This window comes from Homo sapiens, chromosome 2 (genome assembly GCF_000001405.40).
Source record: "Homo sapiens chromosome 2, GRCh38.p14 Primary Assembly".
NCBI classification, from domain to species: domain Eukaryota; kingdom Metazoa; phylum Chordata; class Mammalia; order Primates; family Hominidae; genus Homo; species Homo sapiens.
The window spans coordinates 15782379-15805474 of NC_000002.12; the positions used below are offsets into that span (position 1 = coordinate 15782379).

The 23096-nt window shown below is 49.7% G+C and overlaps 1 non-coding gene across 1 annotated transcript, besides 1 other annotated feature; it reads left to right on the forward strand.

The window, feature by feature from the left end:
* The first annotated feature begins 132 nt into the window (after positions 1 to 132).
* On the forward strand, positions 133 to 4200 carry LOC124905976 (uncharacterized). Its single transcript, XR_007086225.1, has 3 exons — positions 133 to 344; positions 769 to 813; positions 2777 to 4200. It is a non-coding gene; the product is annotated as an uncharacterized LOC124905976 (transcript).
* Positions 18371 to 19218: an enhancer, noted in NCBI's record as "H3K27ac-H3K4me1 hESC enhancer chr2:15940873-15941720 (GRCh37/hg19 assembly coordinates)". NCBI's record gives its function as "activates a minimal SCP1, AML or CMV promoter by ChIP-STARR-seq in naive H9 embryonic stem cells {active_cell/tissue: H9 hESC(naive)}" and the evidence as "EXISTENCE:reporter gene assay evidence [ECO:0000049][PMID:30033119]".

Below are 23096 nucleotides of genomic sequence, written 5' to 3' on the forward strand. Positions count from 1 at the left end.
GCCCCGGGGAGGGCCAGGCGCTGTTTACAGATGGGAGGAGATAACCGCAGAGGAAGGTCGCTGGAGTCTTCTCTTCCATCCTCCCTCTCCCACCCCTGAGGGGGGTCCCTGACCACCCTGATTCTCCAGCTGGCCTGGAGACCTATTTCAAGCTCCTGACAGAGGAATGCATGGCAGAGCATGTGAAGCGGGGTGTGATGTGGGGGCAGGGAATCCAACCCACGAATTGGATTTTACAATGGCACGCCCACTGCTGCCAAGGGGAAGTGGGAAGCAGGAATTAAAGCAATGGAGCAATGGTTTGAGTCACCCTCTCTGCGCCAGAACATTCTGAGAAATCGCTGGTTCGTACTCCAAAACTCCTTTCCCTGGGACAGGAGCTCCTCTATATCATCAGAGGCAACGGGGTACCCAGAGGCTGCTTGGATACCATCAGTGACAGGGAGCTCACTCCTCTAAGCATGGTCTGTTCCTTTGGAGGGTAGTTTGTGGGAAAAAAAAAAAATCTCTCCAGGGCTGAGCTGTGACCTGTGCCCTGTGGCTGCAGGTTGAATGTTCACCTTGGCTTTGTGCTTTAAGTTACTGAAACTCATTAGAGAGTGCGTTCTAGTGGACATTATTATCATCCCCACTACCCAACTACCAGCAAGAATCATCAATGATAACTTGCATTTAGAGTGTCTTCGTGCTTTCACACCCGAGAATGTATTTGTTCATCCTAACAGCCGTATGAAATGGGGATAAATTAACCTCATTTTCTTTTTTCAGATCAGCAAACTGAGGTCTGGAGAGATGAAGTGACAGGCACAAGCGGTAAGAGCAGCTGGGACCAGACCCCAAGTCTCCTCACTCCCAGTCCATGAGGGCTCAGCTCTTGTCAGGCACTCCCTAATCCCGGACAGTCATTCTATAGTAAGGGCCAACTTTGCATTTAACACCGAGAAAGAATCTCCTCTGCCCTGAAGATCACGGTGGTCCTATTTCCTCCCAAAAGATGGACAGGTGTTGTTTACAATTCAGTATTCAGAAGTGAACTGAAATGCAAGAGCTGGCAAAGCTTGCTCTGAGAAGGGAGGTCCCCGTGCCTGAAGTTGGGTGTCCATGAGCTGGTGAAGGACTCAGTGTAGATATGACAGAGGGTATGTCAGAGCCAGGCAGGGGGCTGGAGTCTATGACATCAAAGTCCTTTTCAATCTTTGTAGGAAGACTTCTTTCCTTCCCAGGCCCTGTCCTTAGCACAAATTTGGGGACTTACGTGGGATGGTGTCTTGCAGGGACAGTGATACATGTCAGAGCCAGCCATGGCGTTTTCTCCCTGTGCTGGGCAGCCGGCCGCCAGCACGCTCCATGGCTTCGCATCCTCCCATAGTCAGAGAGTCTCTACCCATGACCCTGGGACACACAGATCTCCTTTCCTAGGTTGAAGGCACCCAACCTCCTCATTATAACAGTGCCCTCTCTTTGCTTGTCCAAACCTACTGCTACTTCAAGTCAGCCACTGTGATGCTTCCTGCAGGAAGCTCTTCCTGGTGTCCCCAGCTCTTCCTGACACCTGTCTTCTGAGAGCTTCTGGTGCCTGTCTGCCAGAGCTCCCCATGTGGCTGCGGGAACCCCTGTAGAGTCCAAGCCATCACCTCCCACCACATGCCACAGCTCATGAGGGAGTTCCCAGCCAATGTAGCCCTGTTGTGGCTCCCAGAGTGGCTTTCCCTGGCACAGAATGCCCTCATCATTCCCCTGCAGAGTTCCTTGGTGCCTCTAGCACCAGCAGGCAAGCCAGTCTCTTTAGCTGGGCAGCTAAGGAATTGGATTTGTTCTGTTTACCTCCCCAGCCTCACTTGCAGTCACTCTTCTGTACGCTGGTCACACAGACTGACATGTCCCATGGCGGAGCAGCCGTTTCCAGCTCCACTCCATGGCATGGGTGGTCTTGAAAGATACCTCCAAGATCAGTCCTCAGGCGACCTGCCCGACCAGGCTCCCAGGTGACCTGGATGGTCTGAGACACCAGGAGTAAAAGGGCTGTGGAAATCATAATGTGCTGGATGGCTGGGAGGGGACTGCTGGGAGGGGATGGCTGGTGACCACTGTCTTGTTTTTTAAGCCTCATGTCCACCCTGCACTGTTATGGGGATTAGCTTAGTTGTGGCATTATCAGATTCAAGTTCGTTTGCAGGGGTCTCCAAGGCCTATGCTCATCTCTTCCATTCTCAGAAGAAGGTGGGACGGCCCCGCACAATGGGAAGTGACTTGCAGGAAGCTGTCGGAGTGCGATGGGGGCAGCCTCGGCTTCCTGAACACCCCCAGCCAGGGCAATGCACCCAGACAGGCCAATGTGTCCATGCCACATCACTGCAGGGCAATGACACAACTGTCAGGGGCCCTGGATACAGCATTCCTTGCCCTGGGGTGGGGTAGGGGGAGTAGGGAGCTTCCGAGACCCTGAAAGCAGGGCTTCCAGGCTTCGGCACCCTGTCCCTCCTTCTGGGCTGTTCCTTCAGCATCTGCTTCAGTGTCCACCCATGCCTGGCCTTTCCTGACCACTTCTACATCCCCATGTGGCGCTTCAGCCTGCAGCAGGCACAGGTGTTAAAAATCCCGTCCACCTGACTCCACCTCTCCAGCGGGGAGGTGCCAGAGAAGAGTGGAGGTGTCTGCTCAGGGGCACAGGGTGGGAGCTGGCTCTGGGGCCTTTCTCTGTGGGTCAGGATGAGGAGCAGGGCTGGCCTGGGGCTCTCAGGACACCTGAGGGCCATTTGCACAATTGTCTTTACAGGAAGCTTCAGGGAGGAAGGCTGCGGGCTGGAGAGAACCTGAGGCTGAGTTTCTTCCATTTCATCCAGCGCATTCACCAAAGCACCCTGTGTGCCGAGGGCAGCGGGGGCCGTACCCTCCCGGAGCTCACGAATGGGTGAGGGAGAAGCCCCTAGGCGGAGAAACTTACAATCCCATGTGGACATGTGAACTCAGTGAGAGGAGGTGCTGCGGTGAGGGCCACTTCTTGGAGATTTGGGAAAAGGAGCAGGATGTTTCTGGCAGTGAGGCTGGGAAGGGCATCCTTCATAGCAGAGGGAAGCTGTGAGCAGAGCAGAGGCTGAGGACGACTCCACCCAAGGGGACCGGTGGGGCAGGGGCTGTGCCAGGGCTTGACCCGGAGCTCTGGGCTGTGTCCAGTTCCCTTCAAATGAGAAAGAAGGCGCCAGAGGTGCAGGGGACAGGGGATGCCTGCCAGCCAGGCCCCATCTCCTCTGCTGTTTAGGGACTCGGGTTGGAATTTCCACGACACTATTTGGGGGAGGATGAGGGAGCTGGTGGGAAATGGGTTTGGGGGCGCGAGGCTTGATATCATTTCTTCCGATAAAGAGGCATTGGCTCAGCTTTTCTGTCTTCTGCTTAATCACTTTCAGAGGCTCATTAGACTTAGAGGAAATACACTTGCAAACTCAAACCACATGCCACCCTCAGAGTACATACTCCCATCCCCAAAGCACACGTACCTCAGAGAAAGGATCATTGGTTCCCAAGAACAGGAGCCATTCCGTGGAAGGGGTCACCTGCCTGGAGACTGCAGTGCTCCGAGGCCGTAGAGCAAGGTGGGTGGAAGCGGGTTTGAGAGTTTCAGGGACGGGCTGACTCTCACGGGGCCCTTACCACGTGCCTGCTGCTGTTCTCATTGCATTGCACGTATTAACTCACTTAAGTCCCACCTGAAGGTGGCCACCATCATTGTTCCCAAAGAGCAGCTAGGCCCAGACATGTTAAGTAACTTGCTTCAGATCACATGCAGCCAAGTGGCAAAGCCAAAAATTGTCCATAGTCAGGCCACCCGGGTTTGCAGCCCAGCTCTGCCATTGACGAGCTGTGTGTGTTTGAACAAGTTACTCAGCCTTGCTGGTCACTCTTCTCCTGTGTGAAGTACATGTAGCAATTACATCTGCCAACGGGGGGATGATTGAAGACCGGATACACCATGGGCCTAACACGGTGCCTAGGATACAGTAAGTACCTGTCAATTTAAGAAACAGCTGACTAGCTGAGGTCCCACTGAGATGCCACCTCCTCCACAAGGCGTCTGTCCCTGAAGCTACTAAAGATCACTCTGTTCAGGTTGGGCAGCACCAGGATGTCTCCTCTGCATCCCTACTGTACTGTGGCTATTTTATTTGACAAATCTTCATATAGGACTTCCTGTGGGTCAGACAATGTTCTAAGTACTTTAATAAATAATAACTTTTTTTTTTAATTTTGGGACTGATTCTTGCTCTATCGCCCAGGCTGGAGTGCAGTGGCGTGATCTCAGCTCGCTGCAAACTTCGTCTCCCGGGTTCAAGGGATTCTTGTGTCTCAACCTCCCAAGTAGCTGGGATGACAGGCACCCGCCACCATGCCCAGCGAATGTTTGTATTTTTAGTAGAGCCGAGGTTTCACTATGTTGGCCAGGCTGGTCTTGAACTCCTGACCTCAAGTGATCTGCCCACCTTGGCATCCCTAAGTGCTGGGATTACAGGCGTGAGCCACCGTGCCCGGCCAATAATAACTCTTTTTAATCCACTATTATCCCCATTTTACAGATGCTAAAACTGGGACACAGAGAGGTTAAGCAACTTTCCCAAGACCATACAGCTAGTTGGTGGTGGAGCCAGGATCTGAACCCAGTCTGGCTTCAAACCTCCACCCTTCACTACTTCACGGTTTTGCCACCATCACACTGCCCACCTGTGGGTTTATGTGCCTCCTCCACCAGATTGTGAGCCCTTGGAGGGCAGGGACCTAGAGGATTTATGTTTGATTCTCCACAGCCCCTCACACAAAGCCTGGCCCAGAGTAAGTGCTTAGAGAATGTAATTGTTCAATGAATGGATCAGTGAACATTGTCAGTGGAGACATTCACACTCTCTAGGTTTCCAAATTTGACAGGCAGTCAACAAAATCAGACAACGTTTTTAATACATTATTTTTTGAAGAAAGTCTTGCTGGCTGTTCTGTTTCTCCCAGAGGCAGTGGTCTGATGCAAGGTCCCAGAATTTATTTTCTGTCTTTATCTGACCTGTCTCTGTCATTTCATTTCTCCTGGGTGGGAGGAGAGGGGAGAGGTCAGGGATGGAAAGTCCACAGAGAAAGCAGGGGCAATAAGGAACTCATGTCAGCACTCTTTCCATCTGGAGATGATGCTAAGATTCTAAGGGGCCTTAGACATCTTTTTATCTTCTTTTTATTCTCTGTGCCCACACAGACTATTCATTCAATCCAATCTCCATCCATCCATCCATTCATCCCTCCATTCATTCATCCCTCCATTCTCTATCCTCCATCCATCCATTCATCTGTTCATCTTCCATCCATCCATCCATTCTCTGTCATCCATCCATCCATCCACCCATCCATCCATCTTCCATACTCCCTCCATTCTTTGTTCATCATCCATTCATCCATCCATCCATCCATCTTCCATACTCCCTCCATTCTTTGTTCATCATCCATTCATCCATCCATCCATCCTCTATCTATCCATCTGTCCATCCATTAATCCTCCATCTTCCTTCCATCCGTCCATCCATCCATTCATACTTGATCCATTTATCTTGCATCCATCCATCTGTCCATTCATCTATCCATACTCCATCCATTCATCCATTCTGAGAATACTTACTGAGCACATGCATTCCCTCCCCTGTGGTGCCTCAGAGGCACTCTAAGGCCAATAGATGGAGGACCCAGAGACAAAATATTATCTTATTATCCAAAGCAAGTTCTAAATGCCAAGGTGGACTATCGCCCAGTTTAGAGGAAAATGAATCCTGGGTCTTCTAATATGTGAGCTAAGATGGTCCACTGTGACTATGAGAAGGGTTTTGATTGTTAATAGGGAGTTGGAGGAGAGAGCTCATGCTCGGAGTCTTCCAAGTGGAGACAGCTGATCTGGATTGCTGAGTGTAAGGAAATCCCCAGCATCCAAAAACCCCAGTCACTCCAGACCCTGAAAAACAACTCCCTCTTTGACAGAAACAAGCTTGGCCCAGGAATTGCCCTTCTTTTTTTTTCAGGCCCCACATCCCCCATGGCTGCTCCTTCCTGGCTAGAGGCTGCAGCCCTGGAGTCCCGGCATGGACAGTTTGAGCCTGGCTCACCCCCACACACACAGCCCCCTTGTTTCAGGAATGTGGGCGGCTGCTTGGAGCCACGGCTGGAAATGGCCTCCCAACAGATGTGCCTTTAATTTGTTTCCGGGTCAGTGGCCCCCATGCCCCAAGGAGGCCGCCTCCCAGGCAGGAGGCCCCAAAATAGCCCTGTGTATGCGTCCTTGGATGGGGTTATCCATCACTGCCCGGCCTCTGCCCCCGGATGCCTCACTCTGGTGGCTGGCTCTAATCGGACCACTTGGTGTGGAGACGGGGGAAGTGGCTCTGTCCCCTCGGGTGATGGCCCCTCAAAGGGCCAATTGTAACCACATGGAAGAGAAGCCTTCTGCCCTGGTCCCAGGGTCAGCCAAAGATCTCTTCCTGAAAGAGACTTCTAGGAAGGAAGCACGAGAGGTTTGCATTGTTCCTACAGATGAGCACGTGATCTGAGGTTGCGGTGCTTCTCTCTATCAGTATTCACCTACTAGCAGTGGGTGCAGTGAGCACCGACTGCATGCCAGGCACCGGGCCAGGCCCTTTCCACGCGTCAACACCAATTCTCCGCTTTGCAAGGAAATTCTGCAAGACAGGCATCGAATTCTCATTTTCCAAATGAGGAAACTTAGTCTCAGAGAGCTTAAGCCTTCTCTAACCTGAACACTAAATGAGGAACCAAGATAAAAAATGCAGGTCTGTACAGCTGAAAAATGGGGCTTTACCCAGAACAGCACCACCTCCCTGCCTAGAATGGTGGAGCTTGTTGAAGTTTATTGTATAGTAGGTGTTTACTAAATCAATGTTTCCTCTCTCAGTCCCTTCCTCTGTAAAATGGGGATCATAATTATCTACCTAAATGGATTATTTTAAGGTAAAATAAGATAATTTATGTAAAGAGCATAGTGTAGTGCTTCGTGTCCAACAACCAAAGGATGAGCGCTGAATAAATGATTAGAACGTGTTTAATAGGCGGTGTGGATGAATGGTAGGGGTTTGAGTCCTGATGTGTGTTTCTAAGGCACTCCCACACTCTTCCCAACCCCTACGTTCTCAAGCCAGTGAGCCAGGTGGGAACATTTGTGTTTCAGAGGCCAAGAGAAGGGTGGTGATTTGCTTCTCCCTCAAAACTTTTCACCTCATCTCCATTCCAGTGGTAATCAATCCCCCTTCCTTTGTGTTTCGAAATTACTTATTGTATAACTTATATCCTAGATCGGGGTCCCAGCCTGTAAGCAAAACCTGGCCCACTGCCCACTTTTGTAAATAAAGTTTTATTGGGACTCAGCCATGCTCATTTGTTTACTTGTTATCTATGGGTGTTTTCATGCTGCAAGGCAGAATTGAGTAGTTGTTTCTGAGACCTTACAGGCCCCGAAGCCTAAAGCATTTACTATGTCTTCCTTTACAAAAAAAAAATTGCTGACCCCTCTCCTGGTCCGACCAAATAATCTGTTTCCATCATACGTATACACTGGGAGCAATGTGAGGTCGGGAATACATCCTATTTTCCTCTCTGCCTGGTGCCTAGTACTGGGCCTGGCCTAGACAGCACATTCAATGAAGGCTTGTATAACCATTGACAAGGACCTCCATCCCCTCTGGTCAGTTGTTCCAGTTCCTTATCACGTGGCCCAGGGCCAACCAGAATCTTGTTTCTGTCTTAGGTATTGCTTATAGTTCCAGACAAGAGCAACAGGGACCACTGGGAAGTCAGGGCTAAATAGCGAATTTGATGGAGGGGCTCATGTTGGAGCCGAGGAAGTCAGGCTCCCTCTGCGTGAGGAAGAGGCACTCACACATCAGCAGGATTGGGTGGAAAGTTCCTGGCTTAAGAGTGAGGGCTCCCGGATGCTGTACTTGGTGCCCAGGCTGCAAGAAGGACACGGGCCCACACTGAGGCCCCTCTCATCTTTAACATTTCCTGTCCTGCCCACCTCCCCTGGGACTGCAGTGAAGCAGGGAGGCTCGAAGCTTGGATCTGTGCCAGGTAATGAGTGAGGGGACTCTTGCTGTCCCTCAAGGCTCTCCCCATCCAGAGCGGAGCTGCGGACACCCTCTCAGTGAGCATCACCCGGACGTGCCTGTTCTGCAGGGGGCGCTTCCGGGGGAGCACAGCTTCCTCCTCCACTCAGCTGCCCTCTGCCCAGACTCAGTGCCCCCTCCCCACCACAGGCCCAACTCTTACCCTGAAAATGCTTCTGCTCAAGGCCTGTGCTCTGGTATGAGCTCAGTGGCCATCTTTTTGGAACCCAATCTGGATGCAGCGATCTTAGGAGTGTGCAGGGAGGTTTGGGACTGGAATAGGGAAAGAGGAATAGGGAAGGGGGAAGAACGGTGTCCAAACTATCCGTGACCTTCTGTGTGGCCGCGTGGCTGCAGAGGTCCTGCTCTACTGCACAGGTCCCTCCAGAGCCCCTAGGTCTGGGGACATCTCAGATGCTAGGGCTGAGCCATTATGGGGAGCCCACTGGATTCCACCATCCTCAGCAGGACAAGCAGGGTGTTGGAGGGTTCTAGGGCCATACTTCCACCCACGCTAACTTCTTTCCCTTTTGTGCTATGAGCTGAAGACCACCCCATAGCTGTAGATGCATTATTCACTTCCCTTCACATTCTCCAGAAAGAGGAGTGAGGCAAGCACGGAAAGGCAAGGAAGGCACTGCCTCCTGGCCACGGTGCTGAGACCAGCCGTTCATTCCACCATGCTGGTAGCTAAGGGACCAGCACAGGGAGCTCAATAGGCTGGACTTGGTCTGGGTCACTTTCAATTTAGAGGCACGTGAAGGGATGGAGTGAGCACTGTGTGAAATTATAGAATTCAAGCTTATAATAATTCAAACTTAAAGCTGTTGAAACTTTAAATTATTCCAGGCCTTGAGAGGAGTGTGGCCATGTAGCCTGAGTCAGGAGGCGTGCAGCTGCAACTTCTGCCTTTTCTCTCCTGTAAATAATTAAGACCAATCTCATAAAGAGAGAAAGTGGGCAAATGACATGAACAAACATTTCTCAAAAGAAGGTGTACAAATAGCCAATGAACATGAACAAATGTTCACATCACGAATCAACAGGGAGATGCAAATTAAAACCACAATGAAATACCTCCTTACTCCTGAAAGAATGGTCATTACTAAAAAGTCCAAAAACAATAGATGTTGGCATGAATGTGGGGGAAAGGGAAGACGTACACACTGCGGTAAGAATGTAAATTAGCACAACCTCTATGGAAAACATACGGAGATTTCTCAAGTAAAAGTAGACCTACCATTTGATCCAGCGATCCCACTACTGGGTATCTACCTAAAGGAAAAGAAATCAATACACCAAAAAGACACCTGCACATGTGTGTTTATTGCAGCAGGATTCACACTTGCAAAGATATGGAACCAGCCTAAGTGCCCATCAACCAATGAATGATAAAGAAAAAATGTGGTATATATACACCATGGAATACTATTTAACCATAAAAAAAGAATGAAATAATGTCTTTCGCAGCAGCTTGGTTGGAGTTGGAGGACGTTATTCTAAGTGAAGTAACTCAGGAATGAAAAACCAAATACCGCACATTCTCACTTATAAGTGGGAGCTAAGCCATGGATGTGCAAAGGCATCCAGAGTAGTATAATGGACTTTGGAGACTCAGAAGGGGTGTAGGGATAAGAAATTACCTATGGGTACAATGTACACTACTCAGGTGGTGGGTGCATTAAAATCTCAGACTTCACCTCTATACAATTCATCCATGTAACCAAAAACCACTTGTACCCCAAAAGCTATTAAAAAATAAAAATAATAAAATAAAAATAATTAAGACCAAACAGAGCCAAAGATAAGACCTTCTCAGATCACTACCTCATGGTGTAATAAAGTAATCTTCCTTGGAATGTAGCAGTCTGTAACCAATCAAATCACTGTGGCGTATGGACTGGTCTTGTATGAAAAATGTCATCCTGCTAAAATGTTCACGTAAGTTAAACTTCTCCACTTTGGAACTCTGACCCCGTTCGTTTGGAGTTGGGGTGGTTCCAGGTGCCTCTTCTCGAGCTATGTGATCGAACATACTCTATACTTCATCACATTTTCCGAATCTCATTATTTAAGGTTGACAACCGGATCTGGCATCTGAAGCCCTGGGTTTGGCTGTGGCTCTATCACTTACCACCTGTGAGAGCTCAGGCAACCAGCTTCACCTGGTTTCTATCCTAGTCCTAGTGTCCTTTTCTAGAAAATGTGATGGCAGGGCATGGTGGCTCACGCCTGTAATCCCAGCACTTTGGGAGGCCGAGGTGTGTGGATCATGAGGTCAGGAGATCGAGACCATCCTGGCTAACATGGTGAAACCCCATCTCTACTAAAAATGCAAAAATTAGCTGGGTGTGGTGGCATGTGCCTGTAGTCCCAGCTACTCCAGAGGCTGAGGCAGGAGAATTGCTTGAACCCAGAAGGCAGAGATTACAGTGAGCCAAGATCACGCCATTGCACTCAAGCCTGGGTGACAGAGTGAGATTCCATCAAAAAAAAGAAAGAAAGAAAGAAAGAAAGAAAGAAAGAAAGAAAGAAAGGTGGACAATACTGATAATAATAACAATACATAACAATACCTATCTCTCAAGATTGTCTGAAAGAAAACAGCACACCCAGGAAGGCCCTGACATGTGATGTCAGGTGCTCAGGAAATATTCGTTCCTTTCCTGCTGTCCGAGAGTTCTCCCAGAATGTCATCCTTGGCCACTGACCCTCAGCATCCTGGGGGTTCCTCCTGCCCCTGGCCATACCACCTGCCTACACACCACCATGCTGGTGCCAGGAGGGCGGCCTGGGAATCCTGAGATGCCAGGTGGGAATGGCTGGGAAAGGGAAGAGAAAAGACCAGCAGAGAAGCTTTGCCCGGAAGGTAAGTGGTTCCTGAAGTTGGAGAGAAAGTTGCCATTGATTATTTTCCCCCTCCAGGATCTCCTAAAGCTCATTAAAGAGAATGTTTCCTCTAGCAGTGCCAGCAGGCTGTGAGTTTCTGATCTGCCAGAAGGCTTAAAGCCTGCTCCATCTCCCCTTCTTCTTTCCCTCCTCCCATGTCCCAGACCCCAGGGATGTGGAGAGAAAACGACAATAGGCAGGGACCCTACTCTCCCAGAGCTCCTGGCCCAGAGGTAGGCATGAAACATGTGCACAAATACAGTCAGTCCTCATTATCCACAGATTCTCTATTTGCAAATTCACCTGCTGGCTAAAATGTATTCATAATCCCCAAATCAATACTTGTGGTGCCTTTGCAGTTATCCAAGAACCTGCACAAAGTGGTGAGAAATTTGAATCACCTGACGCACATGCTCCCAGCCTAGGCTGAATGGTGCAATGCTCTGCCTTCTTGTCTCGGCTCTCAGACTGTGTCCGAATGTCCTTTCTGAGGTATATTTAGTGCCATGTTTTTCGCATCTTCGTGCTTGTTGTTGTTTAAATGGTCCCTAAGCACAGTGCTGAAGTGCTGTCGAGCGCTTCTGAGCACGAGGAGGCTGTGATGTGCCTGACACAGAGCATCCATGAGTTAGCTAAGCTTTGTTCAGCTGCGAGTTGTGCTGTTGGTCGTGAACTGAATGTTAGTGAAACAACAATATATATTTGATAAGGTGTCTTTAAACAGAAACGTGCATAAAATAAGGTGATGTATTGATTGGTTGACAACAGTGTTGTGATGAGAAGCTCACAGGAACCCGGCCCTGTATTTCTCCTAGGAGCTGTGGTTCCGTGTCCGCTAATTTGGCATTCAGGCAGCTTGATAGAACATAACTCCCATGAATAATGAGAATTGACTGTTACCTGCAGTACCAGCAGAATGGGAGGCCTTAAGAAGCTCCCAGCTGGGTGGGGGTAGGAGACATGGCTGCAAGCAATCTTCTGGATCAATTGTTCCAATGCTTCCCATGGCTGTTACCAAGCTTTCCCCTCCACCGCTCCACAAATAAAATAATTGAGCTGGACTTGGTAGACTGGGGCAAATTCTGGCCATGGGAAGACCTGAACACTAAAAAGAAGCAGCCAGTTCTTTGTTGAAAGCTTGATATACCCTTGAGTGAGTCTCTTCCTCTTGTCTTCTGTGCCCTTGGCCATAAACTAGAGAGACTGGACCAGACAATCTCTAAGACTTTCAAACTCCAACTGGCCGTGACTCGTTGAGATTCAGAAAAAAAGATGAAAATCTTTGCGTTCCTGGAATCATATCATTTGTTAAGTCAGGTCAAAATGTATGCAACTCTTCATGGCTCCACCCATACCCTGTTTTTGGATGTCACAAACATTTATTGGACAGTGATTATGCACCATAAGAAAGGGCTAAAGCTTTTACATATCTTTTTATGTTAAAAACAAACAAACAAAAGCTATATGTCAGGTACTGTTGCAAGCTCTTTATCTGTGTTAATTCATTTAATCTTGACAATGACCTTATGAGGTAGTTACTTTAATTATCTGCATTTCACATATGGGGAAACTGAGGCATGGTAAGTCGAATGAGTTTCTCCAAGGTCACACAGCCAGTAAGTAGGCACAGTGGGATTCCAATCTAGGTGCTCTCTGCCGGAGCCTGAGTCCTGAGCCCCTGCACTCCCCTCTCCTGCCTTTCTTGTCTGTCCAAGCCTCACTGCTCACTGACCAGCAGCAGGAGTATCACCTGGGAGCTTGTTAGAAAGGCCACACCCTAGACCTGCTAAATCTGGCTCTGCATGTTAACAAAGCCCCCCACCCCCACCCCCAGGAGACTCAAACACACCTACAGTGTGAGCAGCCCTATGTTAGACCATTTAACCTTCCTTTGGATGAAGAGGAAGTAGAGCTCAGTGGGATTAAGCAGCCTGGCCAAGGCCACACAGGAAGAAAACGCAGAGATGAGGCACTTGACTCAGGTCGTGATGCCACGCTGGAGGTGCCCTCCTGGGCACTCATGGCTGTGGGGGAAAAGTGGGAAGCTTCAGTTTAGTTTCAGAGTAAGTTCATATTCATTTGCTTGACAGATGAAGCTTTTCCTTAGAGGAGAAACCCTGACATTGAGCGGCGGCACATCCTGTTGACCGGGAGCCAGGCCCTGGCTGCAGCCAGCGGGGAACATCTGGATGACATTAGCAGCCTGAGTGTTTGGTTACAGAATATGTCCACCTGGCCTGGCCACAGCCAGGAAGAGAGAAGAGCTTGGGTTCAAGAGGGAGTTCCAGCAGGCGTAAGTAGTGGCTGCTAGGAAAAGCCTCTGAAGCGCATTCCGACGTGGGCTTCAGGCCAGGAGCAAGTGCAAGACTACGTTTTGGTGGTGTCCTAGGTGGGACAGAGTTTTCTTAAAGACGTAAAGTTTCCTCAGGGGGCAGCCAGTGTGATCCCATAGCTCAATCCCAGATCCTCTTGGCTGTTTTGCCGAGGGACTGTCCAGTTTCTGCTCCCACTCTTCCAGGAGCAGGAGGCTCACTTCTTCCTGAGGAAGTCAATCTCTTGTCCAAGCCCCCAGACTCCTGAAACGCCTTCTTGGTGATAAGCTGGAATCCTCCCCAAAGCTTCCAGACTCTGCCTTAGAGACACAGAACAAATCCCTAAACCATATGATGGTACTTCAGATATGAGAAATCAGCATCTGGTCCAGACTGGAGGGCTGGGGGATGATCAGAGTGTGGAACCACCTGTCCTCTGGGTGGTGCTTGTGAAGGAGGGTGTTGGGGGTTGGGTGGAAATAGGTGCCACCCAAGACCACCTGAGACAGCCTTGCTGGGTGGGCACATGAGTGGAGGCCGTTGGGCAGGTGGGAGTCAATTGCAACCCTGAGGCAGGAGAGAGGATGGGGAATGAGGAGTAGGGCAGCTGGTGGCCAGGAAAGCTGAGATCCAGGAGGGGACAGGGGAGGAGCAGGTCAACAGGAGTGGGTCGGAAGCACCTCTCTCATACGGAGTCTGGGCTTGAGTATCTCTGTAGGGTGTGCATTACACTGCTGCCCTCACAGAGCTGTTCAGGGTCCGGAGCCTGTCTCACACCAAGCAGGTTTTCAGAGAAGAGGCTTTGAGCTGGGTGTAAAAAGAGAGTCGGAGAATGGGCCCTTTGCAGTTAGATTTACCCAGGCTCAGCATGTCCCAGCCCCAGGCCCGGGGACAGATTTACACAGCTTTTCTGAATCTTAATGTTCTCCCCTGTAAAATGGAAGCGTAATACCTACTTCCTATCTTTCGTTGGATTCAGTGCTTAAATGCATGGAATGTGGTTAGCAGAGTGCTCAACCCATAGAAAAGTTTGCACCCTTTTAAAATATTTCTGGGTGAGCAGGAATTAAAGCTTACATGGCAAACTTTTCAAATATCTGTTTATGGGCAGGAGGAAAGTGAGATAAAAATGGCTTTTGTTTCTAAGGCACCCATGAGGCCCATCCTTACTCCTTGAGGAAAATGTGTATCTTGGTTAAGTCGCTATTAACCCCTGGCTGTTTCCCTCGACCGCTGGGACGCCACCTTAGTGTCCACCTTAGATATCTGTAGGTGCCCATGATGACACAGGCTTGGAGGGTTTCACAGGCGCCATCTCATTTAATTTAATCCTGGCTGCCACTCTAGGGTCATCTTTCCGTTCCGTTTGTACAGATGCAGGAACTGAGTTGCAGAAAGCTTTAGGGAGGCTGTGTGACTTGCCTGAGGTCACACAGCCTCTGAGTGTGGGGGGCAGGGGAACTTTCCCCCGAGTCTCCCCATTAGCTACCCTCCAGGACAGAGAGGTTTTCTGAGGAGGGTGGGTTTGAGCTGGGGGATTCGTCCACTCCCTGACCCCACCTTGGCCCTCTCCTCACCTTGGCCTTTCCTGGGCAAGGGGCCATGGGGCAAGAGACCTCCCCAGACCTCCAGGTCCGCACCAGGCCCTGCAGCTGGCAAACCTCCTCATCCCCAACAAGGGCGGGCATCTCCCAGGCAGCACCCCCTCTCCGGAAAGCATAATCAGCAGCAGCTAATCTAATCAGATGGGGCTCCCACAGCTGAGCCTTCCAGTCCAGAATCCACCCCTGCCCCTGCCTGCCAGACCCCTTTTCTAAAATCTGTGATCTTCCTGCTTGAAATCACCTTTAATTTCCCTCAGGAATGAACAAGCATTTAGAGGTTTGGTTTCAATTACACCTGGAAAAAAAGTTTGACACAAATTTCAAGCCAAATAAATTAGGAAACCACAGACCCGGGACTACAAAGCGAGCGACGAGGAGAGGCTGAACTTCATCCCTGGGTGAGCGCAGACCCTGTGCCATGCTCCTCACTGCTCACCAATGCCTGGCCAGCGTTCTCCTCCCCTGCCTGGGCTTTCTCCCCCAGGAAGCCTTCCTTGACTGCCCCAGCCACCAGGGGTCTCTCCTGCCTTTGCTCTCCTAGAGTCACAATTCTGTGGGTGACTGCCTTAGGAAAAGAATCGCTTTGTAACCACCTCTTACCTCCCAGCTCTCTCACATTCCCTCACCAAATATGCATCCGTGGAGGCCGCAGCAATGATAATACCCAGTTTCCACATGATTAATGTGATTTCCTTCACCTCATTTCTTTTTCCCTCAACCACCAGAGCAAAGCATCAACCATTGCCCAGGTATCAGCTTCAACAGCACCTCCTTCAGGAAGCCTTCCTTGATTGCTCCAGGCCAGGCAGAGGGTGAGTGCAGGAGGGAATCTGAGGTCCCAACATATCTGATTCCCAAATCCCTGGGCAATATTACAGTCTGGCTGGGGATGCAGGGCAGCAGCACAGGACATGTGTACGCCGTCACCACCTGCCCACGGGAATGCAGCCATCTAGGGAATGTGGGGGTCCTCAGAGTTGCCCCTGAGGGCCAAGGGGTCCCAAGTAAATATAAACAAATTGTCCAGTAATCTGGTCTCCAAAGATGGGCCAGGCTCAGAGATGTGGTCATGCCAGAAAAATAGCTGATTTTGGCTCCGGAAGACACTAACTGTGAAGCGGAGCTGGACTAGGAGTGGACCGTTTCCATCAAAGAGGTGGGTGGGATTTAGCACACTGCCTTCCTTGTTTCTGTGTCCATTTTCTCCATAACATTGTGAGCTTTTGAGGACAAAGTTTTTATCTGGTTAACCTGTGAATGGATGGCACTTACTTAGTCATTCAATAAATATTGGTGGAAGAAAGTAAGATATGGAGGAAGGTTGAAAGGAAGGACAGAAGGGAAAAAGAGAAGAAAGGAGGAAGGGAAGGAGGGAGGAAGGAAATGCCAGAGGAATCCCTGAGACATCTCAGCCAAGTGCCACTGGCCTCAGCTAGTCATGGTAGATGAATATTTGTAAAAGAAACTAAGCTGATTCCGATGCTTCTGGGAAAAAATCCCAACTTCCAGGCTTGAACTTTAAGCTCCTCACCATCTGGCCCTAATATTTCCTTCTGGCCTCATCTCCCACTATCAGTGAATGAACTCAACCAGCCTGCATGCAGTTGGCCACAGCCTGGCCCTAGCACTGAAATCGCCACCTGGCTTTCTTATCTCTGAGTCACTCAGTCCCCATATCCTACTTGGATGGAACCCCTTGAGAGGTTTTAAGGGTCCTTTCCAGGCATCCAGTCCTAAGGATACTCATCTCTGAAAAGAAAGAGGAGAAAGAAAACGGATACAATGCAGGATCATGAGTGTGACAGCAGAAGGACTTCCAGGATAAGATGGAGCCTCCAAGGCTAGCTGAAGGCTCAGAGGGAGAAAAGTGCCTGAACTAAGGCTTGGAGGATGAGCTATGATTGCTGGTGATTAAGGGAGAAGACAGACATTCTAGACAGAGGAGGGGCCTATGCCCAGGCACAGAGAGCAGGTGCTGTAATGGATCCACTGCCCTTCCTCTGGCTCAGCCTGGACAATTCCTTTGCATCCTAGAGGTCCCAAACTTTCTTCTTCCGTGCGTTCCTCCCTCTCTGACCCTGTGGTCCCTCCAGCCCCCTCCCACAGAGCACCTGGTGCCACCCTCTCTCAGTGCAGGGCTCTGGGTCTGGGTCTGTTTTGCTTCATGGTCAGAGGTACAAGCACAAGTCACCCTCTTGCTCCTACTGGTCTGGAAGCACCCTAGAAACAGGTGACTCATCCTTGAGGTAGTCTCTAGCAGAGCCTGAAACAGGTGCTCAGCTGATGCAAATCTAAACACAACTGTAGCTATGACTATCGGGTGCTGTGCCAGGCACCAGATGTGCAGAGACAAATACAACCAGTAGATTCACGTACCCTTTTCTATCTAGGGAACACTCAGCCAGTGCTAAGTGCTTGGCATTTGTCCTTGCAGCAACCTGGTTCCCAATTGGGTCACTGTGACAGGGGAGAAATCGAAGGCCAGAGTCACAGATCCCACAAGTGGCAAAGCCAGACCTCAAACCCAGGGTGTTTTGAGTTCCAACTCAGCATATTCCCCAACACCCCAAGTGCCCTCCCTGCTCCCGGGGTTGTCCTGGGACTAGCTGGGAATGAGGCGAGTGAGGCAGTGCTGAGAGATCTTTGAAGGGCTCTGCAGGCCAATAGGTCCTCAGGCCTCACACCAGGAAGTCCCGGCTGCTTCCTGGACAGGAAGGCAGCGCAGGGGAGAGGGCAGGTGCCTGGGGACCCTGGGACCCTGGCCTGATCCTTCTTGTACATGAGCCACAGGGAACACAGCCTACAGGGCAAGCCCAGGAGCATCCCAAGAGGATGGACATAGGGGAGAGTGAAGTCAGGCCATCGCATATTATCCAATTTTTCTGGCACCAAAATCCCTGCTCCCCCAGGTCAGCATACTGCTCCCGTGATGTCAGCGCATGCAGTCAGAGTCAGAGGCACATGCACGAGAGGAACTGCATGGGTTCAATGAACCCGGGAGGTTACACTGTGAGGGGACGACCCACCAGATGGGACTATTAGAATTCCAGAAGTCTACACCATGTATGTCCGGCATGGTCTCTGGCTTCAGGCACAGCCCTGTCCCCACACCCCACACCCCACACCCACCCCAGTATAGTGAATATTCACCCAAGTATAGCGAATGCCAAGGGCTTTGCAATCATTTCGGTAATGACTTGATATTCCAGAGGATCTAACACCATGCCCAGATGGGACTTCAGGTGTATAAAGTGTTTTTACCTCCAGCCGGTTCCTACCGTGTCCCTGAGTACTGGGGTTCACCCCCATCCCAGGTGAATAGCAGGCCCCAAGAGATAACATGCTTTGCCGAGGTCACACCTTTATTTCAATGACACAATCCTTTATCAACACCCACTCAGTAAAAGGGACGGTGACGCTTTGCACATTTCATTTCATTTTTACAACGATCCTGAGAGACAGAAATTAATACCCTCATTTTACAAATGGGGAATGAAGGTTCTGAAAGGAGTTGATGCAATTTGGCTAAAGTCACACAGTGGGTAAGCAGCCGATGTGGGACTCAAACCCTGTCACACAACTGTGTACGCCAGCTCCGAAGAGAGCAAAACCTGGCAGAAGGAAGTTGGCCAGTGCAGGGTGGTACAAGCAAAATACAAGAGTTCAGAAGCTAGGCTGGGCCTGGAGCGGACCAGTGTTGAGGAAGCCTTGTCTCCTCTCCTCCCCCCGGAATGTGAGCAATGTTTGATGACGCAAGACCCAGGCCTTCAGCCGCCTCCAGGGTGAGACTGGGCCCTGGGTCTCTCCAAGCCTTGGTGGGCCCCGGCGGCTGGGGACTGTGTGTCCTTTGGAATGAATGGAGCCCACAGTGTGAGTGCAGGCCTGGCTAGGACCCAGGGGCAGAAGCATGGGTACAGCCACTTCATTGTGTGGGCACAGGAACCCACTGGGGCCACATGCAAATGAGCCAGCTGGTGGGGATGGCGGCCACAGGCCAGGAGTCAGCCACGAGGAGGAACAGGAAGGAAGATGCCCAGGAGGAGAGGCCCAGGAATCTGAGCACGCAGCCTCCATCCTCGGTCTGCTAGAAACCAAGATCCTAGGGATGGCTGCCCCACCTTTGCTCCCCAGTGGAGGTGCAGTCAGCAACGCTGCCGGGGTATGAAGGATTTGAACCTTCAAACGCTTGATGGCCCAGACTCTCTCCAGAACAGAAAAATCTGTGTGCACACACACTCATGCACACAGTATAGGCACAAATGCAAGCGATTCAGACCTAGGCTTGTATCGCTGACATAATCGGTTCTCAAAACCTTTATGACAACGTGCAAATGATTATGAAGTCCCCTTAGCGTTTCGATAGACCTACCACGTGCACAGCCATTTCTCTTCCAGTATCTTAGTTTATTCCCACAGCCACCTTTTGAAGTCAACGAAATTGCAAACTTCGTCCCTGGCAATATGTTTTACAGATGAAGAAATGAAGGTTGGGCCAGTATCGGTGATTTCATTACGGTAAATTGCCAGTTAGTGACAAAGCTGGCACTAAAAGCAAGGTCTTGTGACTTTTAGTCCAAAGTCTTCCTCCGTGGGGGCCCTGATCCTCCAGCCTGGGTCTTCCTGCCTGTGGGCTCCCTGTGGGCACCGCCACTCTCAATTCCCAGCCCCTTTGTGTTGTTCTGTCTGCTCAGGGGCAGCTCATGCTCCACCTCAACCTCCATCCCGTGGGCCTCTCCACATAGCTGGGTTCAGGCAGGGTCTTCTCCTGCCTGGGATAAGAGAATGGAAGGCTTTTAAATGGGTGAATCACTTAGACCCAGAGAGAATGCTTCAATTTGGTTATAATAGAGGGGAGAGGAGTCTACCCAGACAAGCAAGGGAAAAATGAATCCGCTGTGTGAACTGGCATGGCAGAGGCTGGGGATTGGCCAACACGATGTGCCCTAGGGCGAGTTGCTTGTCTAGTTTTCTCTTTCTGGGCACCAGAACCTTAGCTACAATAGATCTCTGGAGTATATTTGGCCTAGATATCTATATGAAACTTTTCTGTAGAGTTTTTTTTTTTTAATTCAGAACTCCATAAAAATCATAAAAACCAGGTGCTGTGGCTCATGCCTGTAATCCCAGAATTTTGAGGGGCCAAAGTAGGAGGATCCCTTGAGCCCAACCTAAGCAATATATTGAAACCCCATCTCGACAAAAAAATAATCAAAAATTTAGCCAGGAATAGTAGTGAACACCTGTGGTGGTCCCGGCTACTCAAGAGGCTGAGGTGGGAGGATTACTTAGCTCAGGAGGTAGAGGCTACCATGAGCTGTGATCATGCCATTGCCTGGACTACAGCATGAGACCCTTTCTAAAAAAAAAAAAACCCAAAAAAATAAAATAAGGAGACCATTTTAACCCGCAGTGTAAGAGGACAGGAAGGCTGTGACCATTATTGATAACCCCTACCCAATAAATTACTGAAACTTCTCACGCAGGTGAAACGATAGGAGGAAAAGTTGGGAAAAGTATGTCTGGTTTGTTCACCAGGAGACCTCAGCAACCAGCCCAGAGCTGGCCACACTAAGTGGGCACAATGCACGATGCTCCATGTGAACACTGACTCTTCCTTTTCTCTTAGCTGGGCTGGAAATAGACTTTGTCCTCTGACTTCCTTTGTCCTCATCTGCAAACAGGGCAGATGTGAGAGGCCTGGCAAGTGTCTATGATCTGGGTGAAAACATCTGCTTCCAGCACACACGACACAAGTCAGCAGGAGCCAGGAATGTTCCTGCACTCGCTACCGTTTGACTTCTTTCATTAATAACTTGGGAGGATTGCAGGCAAGGGCTTCTGGCAGGAATGAAAGGAAATGATCCAAGAAAAAAATCAAACTCATAAATAAGTTAAAGTGACTGATGGAAGGCTTTTGATCTTTTTTTTTAAGTGAAATATGGGCATTTCCCTTCAGAACTCCGCAGGTAGAGGGAGAAGCCAAGAGGGCTGACTTCTTAGGGGTTAGCATGTAGACACACACTTTCAAACTATGGCCCCTTCTCATTGGTCTTCTGGGGATCGGGAAGTCTCAGTTGGGCTGAGAGGAGGATGGCAGAATAAAGGAGAAAGAGCATGAACTTTGGAATCAGTCCAAGCTGGGTTTCAAACCAGTTGTGTGATCTTGGGCAAGTTCATTATCCAAATGTTACATTCCTTTTGTGTCGACTGGGGGAAAGAATGCCTGCCTCACAGAATAGCTGTGGAAACTGAACTTGGTGATGTGAACATATATTAATCAGGATAAGTATTCCTTAACTGCCACAATGGACAAGTCTCCAAAGTTCTGTGGCAAAGCATAACACCAATCACCCGCTCCAAGTCCCATGCAGGTTGATGGAGCTCCCCTCCATCCCATGACTCAGGTAGAAGGACCGTACCTTTCAGCAGGTGAGACCATGCTGGTCCACACCTGCTGTCCCAGCTTCATTGTCATTAGCACCCTCCCCCGTCCCTCTCAAAAGCGTCCCTTTTTGAGTGACAAATTATACAGTCACTTTAGGCTCAAAGAGCCAGACTCCCTCTGTCCTGTGAGGCCATCTTCTCTACATGTGGCATCCAAGGTCGTCATGGCACAATGGTCCTTCAGTGCATCAGTTCAACAGTGACATATGCCATTCTGCCCCCCATTTCATCAGCTAGTCTGGTCACACGGCCTCACCCGACAGTCCTGCCATCTTCCCACATACCCAGCAAGGGGAGTGAGCCCGATGCGGGTGTGCGGGGTGGAATGAGGTTCTCAGTGAGTGTTTTGTCCCTGCTCTGCTCCTCCCACCATTCCTCGGGAGGCACACAAAGTAGGAGGAGAAAAACATCATCTTGTGGACACGTCAGACCACAAAACACCAAAAGTTCTGAGATGTACACATTTTTAAGGCAAAATGAAATATAGCCCTTTACTGTTTCCAAAGGGCTTTTGCGTTCAGGATCTCACTTGATCTTCCCAACAGCACCATGAGGCAACACTGGAATTTCCATTTACAAGGGAAAACTGAGGTTCAGAGAGACACACACCCATTTCACAAGGCTGCAAGAGATGGAGCCAGGACTTGAACTCAGTCCTTCCACTTTGCCATCCAGTTCTCATTCCCTTTCTGCCTCTCACAGTCCTACAAATGCATATGACAATGCTATGGACATCCTCATTAGTGAGCCCACAGATGGATTTCCTGAGTGCAGGACCAAGAATCAGTGGTGAGGCCAGAGCTGAGGGGTAAAGGCTGTTAATCTAGGATCAAATAATAGAAATGAAGGGAGTATGAAGAGGCCCCTTCCCTCACCTCTTTCTTATTATACTCAGGGAGACTGGGGCCCACGAAGACTTGCCTAAGGTCGCACAGCGAACTAGTACCTGAGACCACTGGCTTTCCTGATTCCTATTACAGTGTTCTTTCTGCTGCTCTATTACAAAATCAAAGGGGAGAAAATGAAGAATAGACTGCTTCCTTGGTTATTGTGAAAAAGAGAGAAGCCAATATAGGCACAGGGGAACAAGAGGGCATATGATCTCTGCCATGTTCATGGGAAGCCCAAGGACCCTTGGAATACTAAAGAGTGGAGAATCCCTGTAGGCTCAGGGGAGATAGGAAGGCTTCATATTATTTACATGTGATCCAGACTGTCAGCTCTCCATTAAGATCCTCTCTTCCATGTGACTGGCAATGTTAAGCCTTCCAGAGGAGAGATGAAAACAAGTCATTCTAGTTGGAAGCAACTGGATGCTTGGCAGTGTAGCTGTCCATCCATTTGGTCCTTCTTCCAAAATGTATTTACTGAGCAGGTGTGTGTTCTCAGGCACCCTGCGGCAGGCATTCTGGGCATGCCATGATGAGAGATTCAGCTCCTGTCCTTAGGAAGCTCCCAGTCTAGTTTGGGAGACAGCCAATTGGGACACAAGGCACTAACCCAGCCTGAGTGGGAACTAAAAGGATTTATTTTCTAGAAAAGGTGACATCTGAGCTGAGACTTGGAGTTGGTGAGCAGTTCTAGGTATGCTGGAGCAAGATTTGAGTTTGATATAATGAGAGATGATGCAATCCAGAAAGACACAAAGGAATCAGCATATGAAGGACTTTGACTGCAGAGTCTGTATGTGATCCCATAGGCGATGGGGG